This window comes from Homo sapiens, chromosome 19, assembly GCF_000001405.40.
Source record: "Homo sapiens chromosome 19, GRCh38.p14 Primary Assembly".
Taxonomy (NCBI): domain Eukaryota; kingdom Metazoa; phylum Chordata; class Mammalia; order Primates; family Hominidae; genus Homo; species Homo sapiens.
Window position 1 is genome coordinate 17,395,803 of NC_000019.10, and position 9,859 is coordinate 17,405,661.

Sequence of the window (9,859 nt, forward strand, 5' to 3'; positions counted from 1 at the left end):
AAGACTCTGTCTTAAAAAAAAAAAAAATTAGCCAGGTGTGGTGGCTGGCGCCTTTAATCCCAGCTACTCAGGAGGGTGAGGCAGGATAATCTCTTGAACTCGGGAGGTGGAGGTTGCAGTGAGCAGAGATCGTGCCACTGCACTCCAGCCTGGGTGACAGAGTGAGACTCTGTCTCAAAAAAAAAAAAAAGTAATTATATATTTATGCGTGTGACTGATTCTCCCCCCCACCCCCGCCTTTCCCATCAAACTGGGTGATCTTCCCCTTCACCCTCTGAAGGTTCCTTGAAAAATCAACTCACAAAAGGAAGATTAATAGGAGAAATGAGGCAGAGGTGGGAGGATCACTTTAGCCCGGGAGTTTCAGACCAGCCTGGGTAACACGGTGAGACCCCATCGCTACAAAAAAAAAAAAAAAAAATGAGCCTGATGTGGTGGTGTGCACCTGTAGTCCTAGCTACTCAGGAGGCTGAGGCAGAAGTATCGCCTGAGTCCAGGAAATGGAGGCTGCAGTGAGCCGAGATCGCACCACTGCACTCCAGCCTGGGCAACAGAGTGAGACCATGTCTCAAAAAACAAAAAAAAGTCTATTCAGGTATGTTGATAGACTTTAGTCTTTCTGCCTGTGATATGAGTTCAGTTAATGAAAACTCAAAGAATCAGAAGTAATTGTTTTCTTTTTTGGTGGGTCCAGAATTTAGGCGTGTAAAAAATAAAATAAAATTTTAGGACCTTCCAGATTTATTATGTCAAGGGGTAATAGTTAAGCCCTGGAAACTGAATCAACCTTTCTTTCTTTTCTTGTATTCATTCATTCATTCTTTCTTTCTTTCTTTCTTTTTTTTTTTTTTTTTTGAGATGGAGTCTTGCTCTGTCGCCCAGGCTGGAATGCAATGTTGGCTCACTGCAACCTCTGCCTCCTGGGTTCAAGCAATTCTCCTGCCTCAGCCTCCTGAGTAGCTGGGATTGCAGGCACCTGCCACCACTCCTAGCTAATTTTTTTTTTTTTTGAGATGGCGTCTTGCTCTGTTGCCAAGGCTGGAGTGCAATGTCACGATCTCAGCCCACTGCAACCTCTGCCTTCCAGGTTCAAGAGATTCTCCTGCCTCAGCCTCCCAAGTAGCTGGGATTACAGGCACCTGCCAACACACCTAGCTAACTTTTATATTTTTAGTAGAGATGGGATTTCACTATGTTGGCCAGGCTGTCTCGAACTCATGGCCCCAAGTGATCTGCCCACCTCGGCCTCCCAAAGTGCTGGGATTACAGGGGTGAGCCACCACGCCTGGCCTCTTTATTTTTTCTTTTCTTTTTTTTTTGAGACCAGGTCTCACTCTGTCACCCAGGCTGGAGTACAGTGGTGCCATCACGGCTCACTGCAGCCTTGACCTCCTGGGCTCAAGCGATGCCCCCACCTGGGCCTCCAGCGATGCCCCAACTTGGGCCTCCCTGAATGCTGGGATTACCACCACTGTGAGCACCGAGCCACCCCATTCCCAACCCCTGGCCTTTCTTGTGTGGAGATATCCCACATTAACTAGACTTCCTAGTCTTCATTCAAGCATAGACTAAATGTTGTTGGAGATAGAGACCCTTGTGACTGTCACCTCTTTACAACAGAATGTGTAAGCAACCCCCTTAGGACATAGTCAATAGTAGCCAATCTAATCTCCTATCTGTATTCTAGCCTTTGCATGGGAAATGTATTTCTGTTCAGCACCTCTGTTTGTGGCTTTATAAAGGATCCAGGCCAGGCGAGCTGGCTCATGCCTGTAATCCCAGCACTTTGGGAGGCCGAGGCGGGCGAATCACGAGGCCAGGAGTTCGAGGCCAGCCTGACCCACATGTCGAAACCCTGTCTCTACCAAAAATACAAAAATTAGCCGGGCGTGATGGCGGGCACCTGTAATCCCAGCTACTCGGGAGACTGAGACGGAGAATCGCTTGAACCCGGGAGGCAGAGGTTGCAGCGAGTCGAGATCATGCCATTGCACTCCAGCCTGGGTGACAAGAGCAAGACTCCATCTCAAACAAACAAACAAACAAACAATCCACACTTTTCCCTGAATGAGAGGCACTCATCCTCATTCTTTGGTGTCCCTGTGGCCCTGGATAGACTCTGCCCTCACACTTTGCCCTGGAAAAAACTCTTTTAACCAGGCTTGGCATGGTGGCTCACATCTGTAACCCAAGCACTTTGGGAGACTGAGGTGGGAGGATCACTTGAGCCCAGGAGTTTGAGATCAGCCTGGGCAAAATGGTGAGACCCCATCTCTACAAAATATAAAAAAAATTAGGGCCGGGCATGGTGGCTCATGCCTGTAATCCCAGAACTTTGGGAGGCCGAGGCAGGTGGATCACCTGAGGTCAGGAGTTTGTGACCAGCCTGGCCAACGGGTGAAACCCCATCTTAACTAAAAATACAAAAATTGGCCAGCGCAATGGCTCATGCCTGTAATCCCAGCACTTTGGGAGGCCAAGGAGGGTGGATCACGACATCAAGAGTTTGAGACCAGCCTGGCAAACATGGTGAAACCCCATCTCTACTAAAAATACAAAAATTAGCTGTGTGTGGTGGCGGGTATCTGTAGTCCCAGCTACTCGGGAGGCTGAGCTGAGATCGTGCCACTGCACACCAGCCTGGGCGACAAAGCGAGACTCTGTCTCAAAAAGAAAAAAAAAATTTAGCCAGGCATGGTGGTGGGTATCTGTAATCCCAGCTACTCGGGAGGCTGAGGCAAGAGAATTGCTTGAACCCAAGAAGGGGAGGTTGCAGTGAGCCGAGATCATGCCATTGCACTCTAACCTGGGTGACAAGAGTGAAACTCTGTCTAAAAAAAAAAAAAAAGAAAAAGAAATGAGCTGTGTCTGGACGTGTGGACGTGGCTCACTCACGCTTGTAATCCTGGCACTTTGGGAGGCCAAGGCAGGAGGATTACTTAAGGCCAAGCATTCAAGATCAACCTGGCCAACATAGTGAGATCCTGTCTTTATTATTTAAAAAAAAAAAAAATTTGCTGGGCATGGTGGTGCATACCTGTGGTCCCAGCTACTCAAGAGGCTGAGGTGTGAGGATTGCTGGAGCCCAGGGGATTGAGGCTGCAGTGATCCAAGGTCGCACCACTGCACTTAAGCCTGGGTGACAGAGAGAGGCCCTGTCTCAAAAAAAAAAAAAGAAAGAAATCAGAGCTCAGAGAGGTCGAGTCCCAGAGCAGGGACACTCAGCAGTGGCTGGTCACTGCCAAATTCCCACTGGGGACTGCAGAACCCCACAGCCGTCAGCTTCTCAACCCCTGGGTGGGTCACAGCCTTGGAGTCAGGTCTCTCAGGAAAAGGACAAAATAGGGAGGGAAGATGGGACATTTTAGGAAGTAGGGAAATTTACACCCAGGCCATTGTGTGGGGGGATTGGGAGTTGAATCCACAATATTGGGCTAATCTTATCAGCAAAATACAGCCCAGGCAGGATGGGGGTGGGGGTTGTGGGGGGAGAGTGGGGGAGGGAGTGTGAGTAGGGGTGGGGGTGGGTGGAGCAGCAGCATAGTCTGGGGACCTTTCCATGGCCCAAGTCGGGAGTGGTGAGTGGAGGAGGTCACGTGGGGAGCGTTTGTTTCCTGGGCAAAAGGAAATCCACAGAATGTGGAGGGTTAATTGCCCAACGAGCTTTGAAACCCTGAACAAGGCCAGGCATGGTGGCTCACGCCTGTAATCCCAGCACTTTGGGAGGCTGAGGCGGGCGGATCACGAGGTCAGGAGATCAAGACCATCCTGGCTAACACGGTGACACCCCGTCTCTACTAAAAATACAAAAAAAATTAGCCCAGCGTGGTGGTGGGCGCCTGTAGTCCCAGCTACTTGGGAGGCTGAGGCAGGAGAATCACTTGAATCCAGGAGGTGGAGGTTGCAATGAGCTGAGATCGCACCATTGCACTCCAGCCTGGGCAACAGAGCAAGACTCCATCTCAAAAAACAAACAAACCAACCACAAAAAAAACAAAAACCCCTGAAAAAGTCCAGTAATTACCCTAGGCCTCACCGGGGCTGTTGGTGAGGATGAAATAGCTTAGTAGTTGCAAAGCGGCTTTGGCTTTTTTGCAAGCCAGGGCCACAGAAGTGAAGGCCCACCCTGCTCCCGGGGACACTTAGCAACATATAGAGACTTTTTTTTTCTTTTGAGACAGAGTCTGGCTCTGTTGCCCAGGCTGGAGTTGCATCATCTTGGCTCACTGCAGCCTTGACATCCCAGGCTCAAGCGATCCTCCTGCCTCAGCCTCCCAAGTAGCTGCGACTACAGGCGTGTGCCACCATGCCCAGCTAATTATTAAATTTTTTGTAGAGATGGAGGTCTCCCTATGTTGCCCAGGCTGGTCTTGACCTCCTGGGCTGAAGCAATCCTCCCCCTTCGACCTCCCAAAGTGCTGGGATTACAGGCATGAGCCACCATGCCCAGCCTGGAAACATTTTTAATTGTCACAACTTGGGAGGGTGTTACTTGCATTTATGGGTGGGGGCCAGGGATGCCGTTTAATATCCTACAATGCAGCTGGGCGCCGTGTCTCATGTCTGTAATTCCAGCACTTTGGGAGGCCGAGGCGGGTGGATTTCTTCAGGTCAGGAGTTCAAGACCAGCCTGAACAACATGGTGAAACACCGTTTCTACTAAAAATACAAAAATTAGCCGGACATGATGGCGGGTGCCTGTAATCCCAGCTACTCGGGAGGCTGAGGCAGGATAATCACTTGAACCCGGGAGACGGAGTTTGCAGTGAGCTGAAATCGCACCACTGCACTCCAGCCTGGGAGACAGAGTGAGACTCCATCTCAAAAAAACAAACAAAAAAAACCCAAAACAAAAAACAAAATCCTACAATGCACAGGATGGTCCCCACCCAGAGAACCATCCAGCCCAAACCACCAATGCTGCTGAGGCTGAGACCCTGCCCTAGACCTTGGGAGTGAGGAACGGGTGCTCCAGGCAGCAGGCAGAGCTTGGGCAAAGGCCTTGAGGCAAAAAGGAACTTGGGATCAGTAAAGGTGGAGGTGGTGAGCAAGGGGAAGTGAGGGGGCAAGAGGGCCAGGGGGTCTGTGGCAGGGGAGGTATTTGGGGACCCTTCCCTGGGACAGCAGTAGGAACCATGGAAGTGGAGGCCTGGTTTTATTTATTTATTTATTTTTGAGACAGACTCTTGCTCTGTCGCCCAGGCTAGAGTGCAGTAGCGTGATCTCAGCTCACTGCAACCTCCACCTCCTGGGTTCAAGCGATTTTCCTGCCTCAGCCTCCTGTGTAGCTGGGACTATAGGCACGACCCACCACCCCCCGCTAATTTTTTTTATTTTGAGACAGAGTCTCGCTCTATTGCCCAGGCAGGAGTGCAGTGGCGGGATCTCGGCTCACTGCAACATCCGCCTCTCGGGTTCAAGCGATTCTCGTGCCTCAGCCTCCTGAGTAACTGGGACTACAGGTGCATGCCACCACGCCAGGCTAATTTTTTGTATTTTTAGTAGAGACAGGGTTTCACCGTGTTCGCCAGGATGGTCTGGATCTCTTGACCTTGTGATCCAACAACCTTGGCCTCCCAAAGTGCTGGGATTACAGGCATGAACCACCACGCCCAGCCATTTTTTTGTATTTTTAGTAGAGATGGGGTTCACCATGTTGGCCAGGTTGGTCTTGAACTGAGCTCAAGTGATCCACCTGCCTCGGCCTCCCAAAGTTCTGGGATTACAGGCGTGAGCCACTGTGCCTGGCCAGAGGGTTTTTTTTTTTTTTAAATCCCACTGACCGTCTGGGCTGGGGACTGTGGGACCTTAGGATAGTACAGAAATCTGGGACAAGGGACTCCTGGCTCCATTACCACAAACAGGAGTTGGAGTTGCAGAGACAATGGCCGGGATTCCGGGAGAACTTGGAGGAAGTAAGATAACAGAGAAGGAAGGGACTATGGCATCTTTGAGGATCGAATAAGGTAGGTGAAGGGTCCGTCGGGATTGCAGCCCTCAATTGTGGAGAAGCAGAGAGACTCTCTGGGGGAGGGGTTCCCAGAGCTGGGTACTGCAGAATGAATAAGAGTTTGGGGAATCGGGCCAGGTGTGATGGCTCATGCCTGTAATCCCAGCACTTTAGGAGCCCAAGGTGGGTAGATCCCTTGAGGTCAGGAGTTTGAGGCCAGCCTGGCCAACATGATGAAACCCCTGTCTCCACTAAAAATACAAAAATTAGCCAGGTGTGGTGGTGTAGTACTGTAATCCCAGCTACTCGGGAGGCTGAGGCAGGAGAATCACTTGAACCTGGAAGGCAGAAGTTGCAGTGAGCCAAGATCGTGCCACTCTACTCCAGCCTGGGCGACAGAGCAAAACTCTGTCTCAAAAAAAAAAAAAAAAAAGAGCCGGGGGTGGTGGCTCATGCCTGTAATCCCAGCACTTTGGGAGGCCAAGGCAGGCAGATCACCTGGGGTCGAGAGTTCGAGACTAGCCTGACCAACATGGAGAAACCCCGTCTTTACTAAAAATACAAAATTAGCCGGGCATGGTGGCGCAAGCCTGTAGTCCCAGCTACTTGGGAGGCTGAGGCAGGAGAATCGCTTGAACCCGGGAGGCGGAGGTTGCGGTGAGCCGAGACTGCGCCATCGCACTCCAGCCTGGGAAACAAGAGCGAAACTCCGTCTCAAAAAAAAAAAAAAAAAAAAAAAAAAGAGAGAGAGAGAGAGAATCTGGGGGATGAAGCAGGGGGAAACATTCTGACAATGCATGGCCTGTGTGTGTGTACAGATCCCAGTTTAAATCCCAGCCCAGCATTTTCTGCAGGCGGGAAGGGAAGCAAGACAAGGTTACTCTCAGTTACAGCCTCAGTTTCCTCACTGGATCCCCAGGAATCAGGAGAGGCTCTAGGGAGGAGATGAGAATACAACACCTGGGAAACGGTGAGCCCTGATGAGGGTGCATAGTTCTTATGTTGATCCCAGCAGAGACAAGGGCTGGGAAGAACTGGGGTGGTGCCTCCCCGAACTCCGTGGGCTCCTGAAAACGTCCTGGAGCAGGGAAGGGAGGTGTCATCGTCAACGGGGTGTCCACTCTCACCTGCAGGGGCGGCCCCAACGCTTGGGTACTAAAACGATGATACTCCAGGAACTCGAGAGTCAGGTGTGCTCTCCCTCAAAGGAAGTGTTTATTTTTTGGAGCTCAAAGACCCCAGAAAAAAGCAACCCCCCCCGCAAAAAAAACCCATAACAACAGGCAGCACATGCCCCCCACACCGCACCCCATGCCCAATCTCAGGGTGGGAGACAAGAGGGGGGACTCATTGTCCGGAGGGAGGCTCTGGAGGGAGACAGCCCTGGGTCAACCCGACTGTGTCCCCACACCCAGGACTTCCCCATGGCCCCTCCAGACCTGCTCCAGAGGCCCTTCTCCGGCTACCCCGTGCTCTCCCCGCTAACCGTGTTGCCCCATGACCCGCTCAGAACTGATGAGATCAAGGGAATGTTCAAGCGAAAAGCCGAGCAGGACGGACCTTCCAAGATGTGCCTAAAGGACCAGAAGAGGGACTCAGGGCAGACTGGAGGCAGCAGACACTGGCCCCGCTCCAAGCCCGGCCCCAAGCCCCGCCCCCATCGCTAGACCCGCCCCACCCATCCATAAGCCCCTCCCCTCCATCGATAGACCCGCCCCCATTGATAGCCCCGCCCCATACAGCTATCAGCCCGTCCCCGATCCAGGGCATCCTTCTCACTGGATTCTCCCTCCTTCCCCAAGGCCCCTCACCTCTGCGCCCAGTCCCTTCCCCTGCAGCCTCTCTCTCTAGACTTCGGAGCCTCTGCTTCCCCGCCCCGCTTCCCCAGCTTTCTTCTCCCTCCCGGGGCCGCCCCCTCCTCACTGACCAGCTTCCTGGGATCTCACTGCAGCAGAGCGCTGAGGCCCAGCAGCACAATCAGCAGCTGGGGCGCCGCAGCGGAGCTGGAGTCCTGGGAGCTGGGGTAGTACTTCTTGTCCGCGATTCTCACGCTTAAGACCTGGTTTTCTCTTCTGCGGTACAGATGGCAAATCAGGCATCTGCTCGTCCTGGCTCCTGCCGCCCTCCCTGTAAGCCCACCGCCCCCGGGAGTTCCCCCCGCACCGCCCCAATCCAAGTCACCGGGGAGGGAATGGACAGCGGCCACCCATGGCTCTGTGACCCTAGGGGCTAAGTTATCCTTTTGTGGGACTCAAACTTTATCCCTTGGGGCAATGGGGATTTTGGGAGCAAAGGAGATCCTGGGTCTTGGGCTAGGGATGTGGGGGTGAGAGGAATGTGGCAGGTGGAGGGTAGCGGGGGAAGGCTATCTCTGACCTCAGTCGCTCCACCTCTGCAGACGCGTCCTGAAGCTTATGGTTTAATGTAGTGATCTCTCCTGGTAGGGTGGGAGGACAGAAACAGGGGGCGGGTCAGCATGTGGCCATGCTGGGGCCCTGCTCCACTCTGGGACAGAACCTCCCCCTTACCCCAACCTCCAGCCCTGGTCTCCCTGCCCCCACCCCCTCTTCCATACCTGACTCACCCCTCCCCGGCCCTCTCCCTTCTCCCTTTCTCACCCTCAAGCTCCTCCACTTTCTTTTGTCCTTGGGCCTTCTCTGCATCCAGGGAAGCCATTAGGGCCATCTAAGAAGAGTTAGAATCTGGGGTTTTGGCCTGGGGAGTTTGGCTGCTGCCCCTGGGACCTGGGCCTCCTCCCTAGGTCCTGGGGACAGAGGGGCTTAAATGCAAACCCCTTTCAGGTTTTCTTCCAACCCTCTCTGCACCATGGTCTCCAACCTTAAAGAACAGCCACAACCACACACTCTCCCAGGGCCACCCATAAGCATGTGGGTCCTCAAAATGGGAGTTTTGAGGCCACCCCACGTGGAAACTTGGAGGCTATCGATAACCAAAGTTTAGTGGACATTTCCAGATTGCCTGAGCAATGGCCCAAGAAAAGTTAGAGGGCCCTACCAAATCCAGAATGCAGTGGGATTTCCCCGCCCAAGTGACATGCCCAGCGAGAGTTTCAAGATCCCCCATATCAGGACCCAGGTGAATATTTCAGTTTCTTAGGGATGAAGTGAAAATTTCAAAAGCCCCCTTTTTCAGGGTCTGGTGAGGTCCCCCTTCAACCCTGAATAGGGATTTCTACTCCCCCAGGACTGGTGCCCACGAGGAGTTTCAAGGCCCCCGACACCAGTGCCCTGGAAAGAATTTATAAATTCACCTAAGTCCCAGGGGGATACTGAGGTCCCCGATTTGGGGGATCTGGAGAGTTTTAACACCCTGCCCCTACACCAGTGCCCTGGACTGGGTTAGGGGCCCACAAACCCTGGTAGGGGAACCTAGGTCCCTTGATGTGGGGGCCCAGGAGCAGTTTCAGGACCTCCCCTGCATCTCCCTGGAGACCCACCCTGGGTCAGATTTCTGGGGAGAGATTCTTGTCCCTCCCACCGCCTAGTACTAGGCCATCCAAAGGAGTTGAGGAGCTTACCACAGTGTGGTTGCAGGTGGCGGCCTGGGCCTCCACATCCTGAAAGCCCTTCTGGGCCTCGGTCAGCTCTTGTTGCAGGAGATGGGTGACATTGCGACACTCCATCACTGCCCGAAGGCCGTCCCGGCAGGCCTCGCTGTTGGCCTTGATGGTGAAGATAATCAAGGGCACCCCCAGAATCACGATGATCAGGAGCACCAGAATTCCTATCCCCAGCAGAAGCTTACAGCGCTTATCCCCGTCTTCCATGGGCACTCTGCAATAGTCATACGAAGTAGATGCCATCCAGATCTCCCCTTTAGAGTCTGGCCTGGAGTTAGGGGAGGGTGCTGGAATCTTCTACGGGCCACCCCTTTATTAGCATAGGAAAC

The 9,859-nt window shown here is 52.9% G+C and overlaps 1 protein-coding gene across 1 annotated transcript, besides 4 other annotated features; it reads right to left on the reverse strand.

Moving 5' to 3' along the window:
* Positions 3,174-3,738: a transcriptional cis regulatory region, noted in NCBI's record as "candidate enhancer chr19.2705 targeted for multiplex CRISPR interference". NCBI's record gives its function as "positively regulates BST2 gene expression with high confidence in K562 cells {active_cell/tissue: K562}" and the evidence as "EXISTENCE:mutant phenotype evidence [ECO:0000015][PMID:30612741]".
* Positions 7,137-9,828, reverse strand: BST2 (bone marrow stromal cell antigen 2). The gene is made up of 5 exons (NM_004335.4): positions 9,489-9,828; positions 8,569-8,635; positions 8,327-8,387; positions 7,878-8,022; positions 7,137-7,524 (listed from the first exon to the last, which is right to left on the reverse strand). The coding sequence occupies exons 1-4, from the start codon at positions 9,771-9,773 to the stop codon at positions 7,893-7,895; spliced, it is 543 nt and encodes a 180-aa protein (NP_004326.1). The 5' UTR covers positions 9,774-9,828; the 3' UTR covers positions 7,137-7,524; positions 7,878-7,892.
* Positions 7,315-7,483: a silencer, noted in NCBI's record as "fragment chr19:17513926-17514094 (GRCh37/hg19 assembly coordinates)". NCBI's record gives its function as "represses an EF-1alpha promoter that drives an FKBP-Casp9 reporter gene in an ReSE screen in HepG2 liver carcinoma cells {active_cell/tissue: HepG2}" and the evidence as "EXISTENCE:reporter gene assay evidence [ECO:0000049][PMID:32094911]".
* Positions 9,007-9,745: an enhancer, noted in NCBI's record as "H3K27ac-H3K4me1 hESC enhancer chr19:17515618-17516356 (GRCh37/hg19 assembly coordinates)". NCBI's record gives its function as "activates a minimal SCP1, AML or CMV promoter by ChIP-STARR-seq in naive H9 embryonic stem cells {active_cell/tissue: H9 hESC(naive)}" and the evidence as "EXISTENCE:reporter gene assay evidence [ECO:0000049][PMID:30033119]".
* Positions 9,730-9,789: an enhancer, noted in NCBI's record as "active region_14267". NCBI's record gives its function as "activates an Ori minimal core promoter by ATAC-STARR-seq in GM12878 lymphoblastoid cells {active_cell/tissue: GM12878}" and the evidence as "EXISTENCE:reporter gene assay evidence [ECO:0000049][PMID:35858748]".